Source organism: Homo sapiens, chromosome 4 (genome assembly GCF_000001405.40).
Source record: "Homo sapiens chromosome 4, GRCh38.p14 Primary Assembly".
NCBI classification, from domain to species: Eukaryota; Metazoa; Chordata; class Mammalia; order Primates; family Hominidae; genus Homo; species Homo sapiens.
Window position 1 is genome coordinate 119,096,705 of NC_000004.12, and position 15,103 is coordinate 119,111,807.

The 15,103-nt window shown below is 37.4% G+C and overlaps 1 long non-coding RNA gene across 1 annotated transcript in view, besides 1 other annotated feature; it reads left to right on the forward strand.

Moving 5' to 3' along the window:
- The first annotated feature begins 3,427 nt into the window (after window positions 1-3,427).
- Window positions 3,428-15,103, forward strand: part of LOC102723967 (uncharacterized) — a 33,423-nt gene continuing 21,747 nt past the window's right edge. The window contains exons 1-2 of the long non-coding RNA XR_001741422.1: window positions 3,428-3,466; window positions 3,636-3,789. This is a non-coding gene — a long non-coding RNA (uncharacterized LOC102723967). The remainder of the gene's footprint in view (window positions 3,467-3,635; window positions 3,790-15,103) is intronic.
- Window positions 6,630-6,924: an enhancer, noted in NCBI's record as "tiled region #3409; HepG2 Activating DNase matched - State 9:DNaseU, and K562 Activating non-DNase unmatched - State 24:Quies". NCBI's record gives its function as "activates a minimal TATA promoter and a strong SV40 promoter by Sharpr-MPRA in HepG2 and K562 cells {active_cell/tissue: HepG2 | K562}" and the evidence as "EXISTENCE:reporter gene assay evidence [ECO:0000049][PMID:27701403]".

Below are 15,103 nucleotides of genomic sequence, written 5' to 3' on the forward strand. Positions count from 1 at the left end.
CTTTTTTCTCTTACCCCTTTCTCATAACTCCCATTATTACAGCCTCAAAATGCTTACCACCTGATTATTCAGTACACGAGCTGCTTCTCATATTTTCTTTTTATCTTGGTATTCTACAGTTTCACAATGATATAGTTAGGTATAGATTTGTTCTATAGATTTATTCATCCTGTTTGGGCTTCTGCAAGCATCCTGATTTTGTAGGTTGGTGTCTTTTATTAGATCAGCCATTATCTTTTTAGAAACTGCTGCTGTCTATTGTCTCTGTCTTCTGCAACACTGATTAGATTTATGTTAGTGACTCTTCATACTAGTCTCCAAGTCTCTTAACCTCTCCTTTATTCTTTCCTTTTCTTTTCTTTTATTCATTGAACTTCATTTTGGATAGTATCTTCAGAGCTACTATATTCTTTTGTGAGCTGTGTCTAATCCACTATTCAATCCATACATGTATTGTGTGTGTGTGCATGTGTGTGTGTATGTATGTGTGTGTGTGTGTGTGTGTATGTATCTATCTATCTATCTATCTATCTATCTATCTATATATATATATATATATATATATATATGCAATGAGCTGCTCATTTTGGGAGGGCTCTGTTAATGAAAACTCTTTAAGACCTGGGGAAAAGATGGGTTCCAATAGAAGGGATTTTCATTTGTTTCTGTCACGTGTCTTTACATTATCAGCCTAAGATCACTTGAAACTAACTCTTGGCTTAAGATTTTTCAAGCCACCACAGGTAATGGTAATTCTGTCTTCAAATACATATGAAAGTTAGTTTATGGTTAGACATTCTCAGGGGATTTTTTTCTCAACTCTGCTTATTACTAAGGTTTAATACAGGCAGTTTTCCTTGAAATACCTAGAGAGGGGCAATGTGCACAGGACATGCATGTTTATTGGTAGTTCACCTTGTATATCACTAAGGATATAGTTCTCTAGTGTCTTTACTTTATAGAGGGTGTGTATCTTATTAAGCTTCCCATACTAGGCAAGCCCTAGACTTTGTTTTCCATCCCCATAAAACTGCAAAGATATACAAACTAAAGTTCAAGTTCATTCTGCGGCAGGAAATACTCTCAGAAGATGTATTCTGATATTTGGCTTACCTCTCTAGGTCCCCACCTTCATTTAATTTATAGCCTGCATGTTCTAGCTCATGGACACAATTCATTTTTTTTCAATTTGCATTTTAAGTTGTTTTAGCAATAGGCTTAGTTTGAGCACCCAATACACCAGGTTACCCTTTGTAGTTTGTGCAGTCTGATATTGGGTCAAGTTGCCGGATCACCTTGCTTGGTGATCAGCCTACTACAAAGTCACAGTATTTAAATCATTATGCTGAGATGTATATGTCAATGAGGTAGTTGCATTATCTTTCTCCACTTTTTTTCTGTAACATTGCTGTACATCATAACGTTGTAAACACTGCTGTAGAAGAAAGAGAAATAAAGAAGATAAAGTTAACAAAGAATCCAAATTTGGATCTCTTAAAGGCTGGACTGTTTTCTTTGCCTTTCCCTGATTAGGACTCTGCTGAGTTGGCCTTCACATTAGGAAAATTGATTATTTACAAATGTTTGAACATTTTCTCACTGACCCCATGGTTGGGTGTGCCTTTGGGATAACAAAAGATGAACAAGCTAAATAGATGTAATTTTATCCTTCTTTTGAAGGAAATGTTGAAAGAAAGCAATACAAAAGAGAAGTAGAAATTTATACCTGGATTTCAGCATGTGAATTTGTTTCCATACACACACTCCAGAGGCCTAAAATAGAGTCTGAGACAATTAATGCTGGAAGGGAAAAGAGATTCCCCAATTCAACCCTGTCCTCTTAGTGATGAGGAAACCAAGTCTCAGAGAAGTTACATGACTTGTTTAACATCGCAAAATAGAACCATTTTTCAGGACTGGATCTCCTGATTCCAAGGAACTGATTTCTTTCAAAGATAGCATGCTCTCATGTAAAATGCAGGTTCCATTTCACCAAAAAATAATGAATATATTTAATAAAGTTAGTAGATTTAGTAAATTTAGTTTATCTTTTGTAGTATACAGAAATTTATGTGAAATAAGAATAAAGAATTTATTGGAACTCAAAAATGAAACAAAAGCAACTGTGAAAATTAATCCTTTCCATTATGCAGTGTAGGATTAATCTTTTAACTCTCCACTATCTTAGTTGTCTTTGCCAGCTCGGTAATTAGAAAACTAAGATACATCGATGGCACTTAGGGCTGCCATAATTAGTAAAGATAAAACTTTTATTATTTACATATATTGCATTTTGAAATAAACTAAGAAATTTGTTTAGACATTTAGAAATAAATATCCTCATCAGGAATGTCTTCTCTGCCATCATCACTAATTATAAGACCCAAGTACATTATCACTAAGGAGCTATATAGCACTCTCTCAGTGAGGCTGAAGGTTGAAAGTGAACTGGAAACCTGCTAGGAGTAAACCTCAGAATTCAGTGAAATAAATGAAGTCAGAACTAGAGACAGAGAGAAGCATCAAATATCCTCTTCATTACTCATGATAAGGCAGCAGCAAATCACACTGACCTAGGAACCATGAAGTTCTCTTGGTATTAAAACCACTCACAAAAATGACCTTATCAGGACATCTCTGACAGGTCAGTGTTGATGCATCCACTAATAGCACAGGAATAACTGTTTATTCAGAGCCACATGTTTTTATTTTTATCTGATATTATGCAATTTTGAATTTCCCTCAAAGGGAGCAGTAATAACCCACACTTGAGATTATTTTTGGACACATTAGAGCTTTAACCTCCTATTTTAAAAACAGAATCCAAGATTCCAATAGATAACCCAGGCTCTCTCTTGCCAGTACATTCCAGTCTCCACAGGTTCACAGAATTTTTAGTCACCTGGGAATAATCAGATCCAGATGAGATTTTTATTTATTTTCTTTTGTTTTAAGTAAGGACACTGAAAGTTCACTTATCTAGTATAGGGTTTTGTTTCACATCTGCAAGAGATCAAAGTTAGTATGGGAAGTATCTCCGGCATGGGTAAGTTGTGAAATCAAAAGAACTGCATGTGCCAGTTGAGTTTAGTTTTTGGATAAAGTCTCATGAGCAAAAACTGAAGACAGGGTAAACATATTATATATCAATAATAAAAAATGCCCATCAACACAACATAAAAGGGGATTACTCTATAGAAATCAAACTTCATGTGGTAAAAGAAATGTTAAAATTATTAGCAAAAATTGCCAAGAGTACCTATTAAAAGAAATATCATTTCTCTCTTGACAGTCTTCTCTCCAAAATGAACTCAACAATGCAGACACTAGCAAAGAAAAAATGAACACTTCTTTAAAAATCATGCTTTAAGTTCTGGGATACATGTGCAGAACGTGCAGGTCTGTTACACAGGTATACACGCGCCATGGTGGTTTGCTGCACCCATCAACCCATCATCTACATTAGGTATTTCTCCTAATGCTATCCCTCCCCTAGCCCCCTCCCCCGACAGGCCCCTGTGTGTGATGTTCCCCTCCCTATGTCCATGTGTTCCCATTGATGAACACATTTTTAATACTATTGCCAAAGGAAAAATTTCTCTAACTTAAGCTTCGTATTTCCAAAATTTGTTTAGCAATTTTTAGGACTTTTCCTCCTGTTGGAAATTTGATGAGCATGAAGAAAAAGCTTAATGGAAGAAACAAATCCGAGGAGAGAGTTTATGGAAAATGGAGAAAGGACAATGAGAACCGACAAAGATTGAATAAGAGAGAGTAAAGAACAAGATGGTGACGTAGACTACTTATTCATTCTTTCTTTTTTCCTTTCTGCCGCAAGTATTTGTTAAGCTTTGCTAAGTGCCAGGTATTCTTCTAGGCACTGGAGATATAGCAGGGAACAAAACAAAGCACTTTCCTTTGTAAGATTTATATTTTAGTGTAGGGGCTGGCCAACTTTTTCTATAACAAGCCAAATAGTAAGTATTTTAGGCTTTGAGGGCCATGCAGTCCCCATTAGGACGTCTGAACTCTGCCATTGTAATGCAAAAGTTGTCACAGAAAGACAAACATGTGGCCATGACTGTGTTCCAATAAAACTTTATTTACTGAAACACATGACAGGCCAATTTGTCCTGTAAGCCATAGTTTGTGGAGTGCAAAGGAAAGAAGGAAGTCCAGGATGACTTCAAAGATTCTTGCTTAAGCAACTTAGTGACCATGACAATAAACAGTTTCCATGGAGCAGTACAGAGAAACTGAAGAAAGCAAGTGTAGACAAATTTTTATGTTAAAAGGGAGCAAAGAAAAGGACCACAGAAGGTGTTTTATTGTGCTTGTCTCTATTTGCAAGGTATTTTGCTTTTGTTTGATGTGAGAAAAAAAGCATAGCATGTTTCTATGATGATGGAAAAACTCCAGTAGAAAACAGGGCTGGGTGCAGTGGTTCATGCCTGTAATCCTAACACTTTGGGAGGACGAGGCAGGCGGATCACCTGAGGTCAGGAGTTCAAGACCAGCCTGGCTAACATGGTGAAATCCCTGTCTCTACTACTAAAAATACACAAATTAGCCCGGCATGGTGGTGGGCGCCTGTAGTCTCAGCTACTCGGGGGTTTGAGACAGGAGAATCACTTACCCAGTAGGCGGAGGTTGCAGCCAGGGCTACACAGCGAGACTCCATCAGGAAGAAAGAAAGAAAAGAAAGAAAGAAAGAGAGAGAGAGGAAAGAAAGAAAGAAAGAAAGAAAGAAAGAAAGAAAGAAAGAGAAAGAAAGAAAAGAAAAGAAAGAAAAAAAAGAAGGAAGGAAGGAAGAAAGGAAGGAAAAAACAACAGCAATGGAGAAAAAGAGAGGATAACTGCAGGAAGAAAGTCCATGGACCTAGAGCAGTGGCTCACACCTATAATCCTGGCGCTTTGGAAGGCCTAGGTGGCCAGACTTCTTGAACCCAGGAGTTTGAGACCAGCCTGGGCAACATAGGGAGACTCTGTCTCTACAAAAAATACAAAAATTAGCCAGGCATGGTGGCACATGCCTGTAGTCCCAGCTACTTAGGAGGCTGAGGTGGGAGGATCACTTGAGCCCAGGAGATAGTGGCTGCAGTGAGCCGTAATTGTGCCATTTCATTCCTGCCTGGGTGACAGAGTGAGACCCTGTCTCAAAAAAAAGAAAAAAAAATGGACAATTCACCTCTTGTAATAGGAAAGAGGGCAAAACATAAAGTTACAGATGCAAGTAAGTTGTCATGTATGGTTGGGGGAATGTGGATTGCTGACGGGAAGTGATGATGAGACAGAATTAAACTGACTACAGTTACCCTCTTGGTCTTTTTCTGTTTTCTACTCTCTGAAGACAATAAATATAATAACTATCATGGGCAGATAAGAACACCACAGCAGAAAATGATTTTTAGAGGAGGTGAGAGATGTCATTGGAGTGGGGGTGGGAGTACATTCCAAGAGTGACTAGTAGAGGGAGCAACCACTTTGACGAATATCATATGACCTGAGCATAAGAACGAAAATCACATTGCTGGACTGAGGGCCTGTATTCTGATGTGCAATGACTGTCATTATGTAAGGAAAGTAGGAAGTGATCAGAAGAATTTAGAAAATCTTATTAAAAGTTGAAATTATATTTAATAAGCAATATTGCTGATCCATGGGGCCCCTGTAAGGTTCTGTGAAGGGGAAGCGAAAGAAGATACTTAAGAAAGATAAAGCTTCCTATTAGTATTGGCTGTATTAAAAGACACCAACAAAGTGGTCTGTTGTTCCAGTCCAACTGGGGTCATCGCTGGCTTGTCTCAAGAAAGATATCAAAGTATAAGTCAACAAGGCTAATTTTATGTAATCACAGCTCACAGAAAAAAATTGTGATGGAAACAACTACTATACAGAAATTATATGGTAGATAGAATTAGGAATAGACAGAGAAAAACAAAGTTGACAAAAGAATCATCAATGTATAATGTAGAATTAATTTCAAAGCTCTAAAGCCCTGCAAATAAAAACATGTTTCATGAGAAATGAACTCTAGAAATCATTCATGTCCAGACAACAGTGATACCTGTGTGAGTCAGAACTAACCGTGCCTATCCTGAAATACTACATTATACCAAGTGAATGGGTAATGGTTGTAAGCTATGTTTCAAAACAAGAGGGCAGTGGGGCACATTGTCCCCATTCCTTATACCCACACCTCAACTCATGACTACCTGAAGTTCAAAGACTTCGTCCTTCAGGAACAATAAACTTTGTTTGTTTTTTGAGATGGAGTCTGGCTCTGCCACCCAGGCTGGAGTGCAGTGGCGCAATCTCGGCTCACTGCAACCTCCGCCTCCCAGGTTCAAGCGATTCTCCTGCCTCAGCCTCCTGAGTAGCTGGGATTACAGGCGCCCACCACCATGCCCAGTTAATTTTTACAATAAACTCTTAGGGCAAAATTTGTTCAAAGAAATTAGCAATCAACATGTAATCTTCGCTTTTAGATTTAACATCTCAAAATAAAACTCTGAGGCTTATATGCCAACCATCAAAACAAATCCTCATTCAAGTTGATGTATCTCGGAGCAGAGTGGTGGTCACACTCAAGGGCAAACCCATCTGGCCTTCACAAAAAGCCCATAGTTTTGAAAAGGCATCAATAAAGAAGGGGCAGATGGAGCTGCCAGCGCACACCACACTTGTATCCAGGAAGTTCCTTGCTCTCTTTTTGGCTGAGTAAATGACTCACTGTTGTAATCTTGAGTAAGTCACTTAAATTCCAAGCATTCAACTTCCTTCCATCCACTAACAATGACCTAATACTAAACATGCTTGAAAAATGATGTAAGACCATTTCCTCTCCATTACCAGCAGCTAAGAGTAACAGATGACTAAGGAAAAAAAAAAAAAGGAATGATCCATAAAGCAAAAGTAATTCACCCTTTATTATAAAACCACTCCCACTAAGTTAGGAGTATTTTTCCTAGGAATGTTTTTGAGCTATTTCAACATGGGTACTGGGATAGCTAATTCAAGAGCTAGGGTTCAGCTTTTTTCACAAAAACAGATTTTCAAACTATGATCTGTTGTCTAGGTGAGAACGAGTGTGCCAGTGTCTTTTAAAAAGTGTTTTATACTGTGTGTCCATGAACTTGTATCCTAATCTTCTAGTTTAATTCAAAAATGCTCACCAAATATAATAAAAGTTTATAGCTTTAGTTCAGAAGCAAATAGTAATTAGAAAGAATGAAGGCTTTAGCCAGTTCACTTTTGTACAATATAAAATGCAGATTAAATTTTTTTTTTTCAAAAAAACCCACAAAGGAAAAACTATAATATGGGGGTTAGGTATGTAGATTTAGCCAACACACCTAGCTTCAAATCTTGGGTCTGTTTACTAGCTCTAGGTTGAGGGAAAGCTTCTTAATTGCTCTAAGTTTTAGACTTTTCATTTGCAAAATGTGGATAGTAATGCCTGATCCATGCATATTGCTGTGAACATTAAGCAAGAAAAAATATACATATAAAAGTTATGCATAAGGTATATATGTAGCAATTAATGCAGTCTGATGCATAATTAATAATTGGGTTTTATAAGTGAGGAAAAAGTTGACCTGTGTAATACAGTAGTTTAATTTTATTCATTTAGTTTTCAGCTATTCAGAGCCTTTATTAAGTTCTTCTTTAGAAAGAAGTAATTTCTCAAATTCTTCAAAATCATCCACCAGGTTTAGAGCAGACATTACACACAATGTTTTGCTTCTCTTTGGTGACCAATGTGACTTCTACAACAAATTCTATTTCTTATCTCTGTGTTATTTCAGATATTTAAGTAATTTAATATTTCAAATATTACTTAAAACTTCCAGTTATTCTTGGGGATTATTTGCATGTCAGACATCAACATGTAGATCATTGCTTTGTTAAGTAGTATCTTGAAATCTAACTGTTTAGCAAAGTAGAAAGACCATAGGAAAAATAGTAATAAAAAAACAGAGGGAATAATCCTTCCCTTCCTCAGCCCTAGAGTATAAATGATTAAGCATCATAATTGCAGGGTTCTTTATGCTTTATACAGTAAAAATAACAGAGAACAAGGGTAACAAACACAGTTCCCTGTGAGCCAGTGGCATGCTTCCCTGCCTACCACATGTCCTAAGCCAAGACTTGAGAAACAGGTGACTTGGCAAAGAAAAAGAAATAGCATATACTCATAGAAAGCCCATAAACCAGAGCAGATATGTAACTTGAAAACCCAACCAAGGGCCTACTACCCTTTTATTGGTTGTGCCTCTTGCCTCTATTGCCTTGTATTACCTCTGTTGGTAGCGATCGAGGCTGTGAACATGGTAAGGAAAAAAAGAAAGACTGCTAAAACTGGCTTGGCACTGAATCCCGTCACACAGCATTACAGGTCTGTGAGCACACAAGCAGAATTTGACTTGCCCTTTTACATATCTTCACTATAACCTTGTCACTTTCTTAACTGAATTTACGGATCTCAGGTTGGTTTTGTCTTTACTATTCTTTACTGAATATTTACATCAAATGGGTGTTTGTTGCTGTCATTATTTTTATTGCTGTTTTGCCAGTTTGTTCAATGAAAATGGCCATAGCCAAATGGCCAAGAATAACTATGCAGAAATATTGCTTGTCATAAATTATATATCCTAATAATATGATAATGATATGCAACTGTTGAGTGCATTATATAACCTCTTATAAATGAATTTCTTCACTTTCAATTTGAATAGAGTTAAAAACTTATCAATTACAAAGTTGTTATGAAGAAGATAATCAGAATTACCCAGCTTGAAGAAAGTCATTTAATTCAGTGTCTTATTTCTATGCAAAAAGCCTCACAACTTATTAAAGACAAAGTTTATATTAAATTACATATAATATACACATTGCACGTATATAAACACACAAATACTTTCGCAGTGGAAATCTACTCTTAAATACTGTTATTTAGGAATAAAGAGTTAAGGTCAAGGATTCTATAATATTGAAATAACCAAAATGTTCTATGAAACAAATAGATGAATTAGAGAAAGATTTTGAAAGAGGTTGGAATAGATTATGCAATAGTAGCTTATGTGTGTATTCAGAAAAATGAAAAACCATTTCCTGTCATTCAGGAAGAAGGGGTCATCTTATTCTAGTGCATAAAGTGAGCAAAGGATGTAGTTAAACCAAAGTGAACTGGCTATATTTCTAAAATTAGCTCTTCTATGAGACCATCAAAATCCATGTTTGAAAAAAAATCCTTCATATTTTCACTTATTTTGCTTTGATTACTCAAAGAAAGAAAAGCTGGTATCTGAGATCTAAAAGCAGATAAAAAACAAATTCCAAATGTTCAAATCTGAGCAACTTAATTCCAAACTTAGCTAATCCTGAGTCTACCTGGACATTTGCCCTTTTTAATTTTATTTTTTTTAACCAGAAATACTGGTCTAGAATAATCAGGAAGCATAAATCATGAGAGCCAAGAGGGAAAGCCAGAAATTTGCAGCTGGCACAACTGATCTGGTCTTGTCAGTATAAATGACCATGACATGTTGATTCCAGTAGGACCTGAGGCCCCCAGAGTAGAGGTGTGATGGAAATTGTGCTTTGGTGGAAATAGCATGGAAACTCAGGTAAGAGAATTCACTTGAATTCAGTTTCTGCCTCTTTCCAGTTGTGTTAGTCATGACTCCTGAAGGAAGTTGCAGAAATCCAACCAGAACTAGCCTAGGCATAGGAAAATGAGACATTTATTGGCTCAGGAAAGCAAACTGGCAGAAGGACAAAAATACAGTTGTCACCAAGGACAACTGGCCCCAGGGTAGGAATGCTGCTGGGTTCCTCTCTTTCATTGCCATTTTTGTCCGTATGTCAGCTTCCTTCTCTAGGACCAGAGTTCTCAAGGTACCTATCACAACAACTTTCAGTGGCCCCTGCCTCCCCTGTGAACAACTTCCCAACCAGCAAAGAGGAGTCTCTCCCTACATCAAAGTCCTCCATCCTTCTCCTCCTAGTGAAAACATGAGGAAAGATTCCAAATGACTAGACTCTCCTCTTGCATTCAAGTCCTGGGTCAGGAGGGTTGCCGTAATTAGTCCAGCTTCTGTCAGATGGCCACTCTGAGGTCAGTCAGTGTAGCCCAGGAGATTAAGGTCACATAACATGAGGCGGTTTCCAGTCAGTCCAAATGCTGGAGGTTGGGATTGGGGAGCAGTTTCCTACAACAAAGGGGTTATCACAGATAATATTTCTGTGAGCAAGGCAGCCCCGGTGATTTGACTCTGCTATAGTAGCTGCTGGCCTGAGGCCAAGTTACTTTAACCTCCTTAGTTTCCTAAAGTATACAATTGGTAAATTGTAATATTTAACTCAGAATTATTGTGAGGAGTTATTAAATTAATACATGATAAAGTACCTTAAAAACACAAAATGCTTACAAACGAATACATTTTCAGTTTTTTCCTCAGATTAGATTCAGATATATTTCTGGAATCTGGTGTGAGCCAGTGAAGAACTGCCTTTCCCTCAGCCTCATTTTAAGCATTAGATGCTGGCCAGTGAATTTATCAGTTAATAATTCTTTGGGAAAGGTTCTAATAATTAGCAGGTTATTTGTAGCAAATATACCAGATCAAATGTAAAACGATATGTTAGCAATAATTAGGTCTAGCAATTTAAAATATCAAGCCTAAAAGAGCAAGAGTTTATTCTATCTCATCAGAAAAACAGCCATTTCTACTCCATAATGTGATATCTAAATTATGAACTATTCCAAAGAAATGTGTTTTCCAGAGAATGTAGCTGAATACTTATCTAGAATAGGAAAGTAAATTTTACTTTGTGTTCCTTACTCGAAGCATTCCTTTCCTTAATACTGATTTACCTATGTGGGAGGCTGGCAACACAAATTCCATGCTGTTGAAAAGGAAACGAAGGTGGAAATATTTAGCAGCTCACCTACAGTGGTTAGTGACATCACTCAAGTAATGACACCAAGTGAAAAATCCTTCTCTTCCATCCCCAAATTCAGGACTTTCACTATTTCTTGAATTAATTGACTGTTCTTAATTCCATAGCATTTGACTTTGGAATTGAAATATGTGGTATTCGATGCAGTTCATAAAGCAGGCAGGTAGCTCTCCATGTGTGTAAGGCCTCCTTAAACTACTAGCTTCTGTTGTATTTCCCTGCCTCAAGCAACTTTTCTCTGGTGGGAGAAGGTCAGGGTTGACACTGAATTTCTCAGTGTCAATCCCACCTACTTTATCCCACCTGAAGCTATTCTTAAGAAAATAAAGCAACCCTGCCTCATCCTTGGCACACTAAACACAAACTCCAATCTCATCTCCCCTGGGATGGCCTCTATGAACTCTCAAGCCTGGTCAGATGATCCTCCTTTGGGTCTCAAAGTACACTGGGCTTGTCCCTTGTCTATTTTCTTCAGCATGTATGTATCTTCAGTGCCTAACAATGTGCGTACTATTTATTAATCAACGAATATTTATTGGGCATCCACAATATATCAGGCTTTATTCTAGTAGTTGTAGAAGTTGATACTTGAAACATGAATGAATGAATAAGATTCCCAATTCCATCTGCAGATGGGATTAGGAACCAGTCATATACCATAAGTTTGGGCTCTCCCAGGCCCATCAGGTTATAATAGCTTCCATTAACCTCCACTGTTCTTGTCCAGCCATTATAACTGGGCCTTTCTGAAATTTTCTACTAGTTCTTTAAGCGTTTGTTTACAGCTACAATTCTGCACCCTAATCCACTTGGCAAGAAAAGAGCTTTTGCTTATTTCTTGATAGTCTCCTTCTCCTAGGGGCTGTGTCTAGCATAAGTGTTATGAGCCACCTGAACCATGATGCCTCTACCCATTGAACATCAACACAGCCCCACCCATTGTCTACAGTGGCCATTTCAATGTCCATTATTCCTAAGCCTCCTGGGTCACCACTGCCACCTCTCTCTCAAGAGATGATCTCAACTTCCATCATGTAGAATAAATAGAAGACATTAGGTACAAACATCCTCAAATTTATATCTGTACATCTTCAAAATTATCTGCCCCTATACCTATTGTGTCCTTATTTCCTATTTTCATTATGGAAAATGTCTCTCCTCTGCTGGAAAAAAATTAAGCTCCCAACCTTAGTTCTGGATCCCATTCCCTCCCTCTGTCTCTGGCTTTGAAACACAACTGTTATTTGAATGTATAAGTTCCTTATAAATCAGACCTATTAACTTTTCATATAGTACCTAAAAATTCTCTGTAGTAGTTGAGAAGGTAACAAAGCAATGTTCCCAGTAAAGGTTTTTATAAACCATAGTTTCTCCACCTCAGCACCATTGACATTTTGTAAGGGATAATGGGGAAGCCAGGGTGGGTTGTGGGGAGCTGTCCTGTGCATGTAGCATCTCTAGTCTCTATTCACTAGATGCCAGTAGCACCATACTCCTCAGGTTGTAACAACCAAAAATGTCTCCAGACATTGTCAAATGTCCGTTGGGGGGCAAAATTACTCCTGATTAACTGAGAACCACTATTATAAGCAATTAGAAAGCAAAATGTAGGATTTGAGAGCAAGATCAGAGGCTTTAGGTATCTGGATACAGAATCAACCTGAATTGTGTTTTTGAGTTTGAATGCCATTAACAATAAAACTTTAAGGGTCAAAAATATACTACATGGTGAAATTGTGGTAAAGAATCAAATGATTAAAAATTCAGCTAGGGGTCTAAGATAAAGTTATGAGCGATAATGAAATAGCAGATTGAGCATAGAAAGACCTTCATTTTGAAAGATAACATAATGATCAAGAGTTTGATCTTCTCTATTTGTTCTTTGTATAGGAAGGTTTATTGTAAGAAAAGGGACATTACACAAAGCTGTGAAGTGATCCAATCTTTCACAAAATTCTCCAGATGAATGCCTATAAATATCCTCCTAAAAACATTTATGAATTCCATATTCCTGATAACAACTGTTACCTCCTACTCTGATTTGTAGAAAATTAAGGCACAGAATAAGAAGACAGGAACTTTCAAATAGTATAATAAAATAGAGTATGTTTCTTATAATTTAAAATGGTTCATTACTGTGTTGCCCCGCTTACTTCATTTACTCGTACTTGCTTTATATACTAATCAATAGGTTAAATATGTTGTTAGTGGTCACTCCTACTAAAAGTTAGGCAAAGGGTCATTAAAAATACATATAAAATAACCCTCATACTAATCTTATTTCCATGAAAAAGTTCAATTTCATGTTTAACACGTCAACTCATTAATTTTTCCAGAAAGGGAAACAACTTGATAATAACAGAATATGTTGTGGTTAAGAGTGAGGGATAGAGTCAAACTGTGGAGGTTTGAATGCCAGACTCCCTCTCCTTGCTGTGTGACCTTGGGAAAGTCACTTACCTTCTCTGTGCCTACACCACACAATTAGAAGAAACAAAGCATGTGGAAAGCATAGTGTCCAGCATGTCCATAACTATCACCATCATCATCATCATTATCATCATCATAAATAACCAACCCTACCCACTAGCCACTGCATAGAGGTTAACCAACATACCAGTCAAGGACAGGGTTTCTGGATCTAGCCAGAGCTTACCACTGAGAATGATGACCAATAAATATCAGCTTCCTTCCAGATGCGCATCTGAGGCTCATTATTATCTGCTTCTGGCATGGTTTTAAAAGTCTCTCAGGAGCTTGCTCATAGTTGATTACTATACCCATTGTCAAAAAAGGAATTATCCAGAAATTAGCACATTCTTCTTCAAATAATATGATCTCGGTTTTTTTTTTTTGAGACGGAGTCTCGCTTTGTGGCCCAGGCTGGAGTGCAGTGGCGCGATCTCGGCTCACTGCAAGCTCCGCCTCCCGGGTTCACGCCATTCTCCTGCCTCAGCCTCCTTAGTAGCTGGGACTACAGGCGCCCACCACCACACCCTGCTAATTTTTTTTTTTTTTTTTTTTTGTATTTTTAGTAGAGACGGGGTTTCACTGTGTTAGCCAGGATGGTCTCAATCTCCTGACCTCGTGATCCGCCCGCCTCAGCCTCCCAAAGTGCTGGGATTACAGGCGTGAGCCACCGCGCCCGGCCTTTGATCTCATTTTTTAATTAAAAAAGTAACATATAAAAAAAGTACATTGTAAAAAGAGGTAAAGAAAAATATATGGAAATAGTGATCTCATTAATTCATTTTACACTGATTGGATATCTACTGTATACAAGGAGGGATTTTGTTAGGCATTAGACAAAAAGAAAAAGATGAATATAATACAGTACTGATTATCAAGCAGTAGAGACATAAAACATATATTAGATACCAAATTCCACATCAGAAGTATGAATTAAGAGCTATAAAAACACAGAGAAGAAAGAGAAAATTAAATAAAATATGGGAAAATGGAGAATTTCCTTGGTTTTAAGGAAGACATACATAGGACTACTAATGGGAGGATACGGATTAGGAAGATTGAGTTTCCCATCACACTCAGCTAAAAGTCCTCTTCTCTCCCCCTCCTTAACAACCACAATTTTTGTATAGGAGATATAGTAAATATCAAAGAAAGCCATTAGAATAACCAAAAAATTTACAAAAGGCAGCATGCTGAGAAGCACATGTGAAAAAGAGGATTGGCCCATTCACTTTACAAAGTGAAGGATTTTACAGGGTGATTGTGTACATGGGACCATAACACCAACCAGAAAATCCACTGTCACCTTTATGCTCCAGTGCCCACCTCTTACCACATGAATGAATGTGGTCCCAAACTCAAGGCCCAAACTTTATTTTCTATAAGACCATTGAGGTTCTCATTATGCTTGGAATAGCTCCAAGATAATTAAGGTAAAAAATAAATAGACCAAGTTTATGTAATTTCATGAACCAACCTTCCCTTCATTTTGTGGTCTGCTTCACTGTAGGCAAAATTCAACTCAAGAATAAAGAGCAGCAAATGTTTTCACAGTGTGTCTACCCCTGGTTGCCAGCCAGAGCCATGTTTTCAAGCCCTGTGAGAGTGTAATGATTTGACTTTCTTCAGAAAGAGAAAATCAGCAAAATAGTTCTAGTTTTGTATCTAC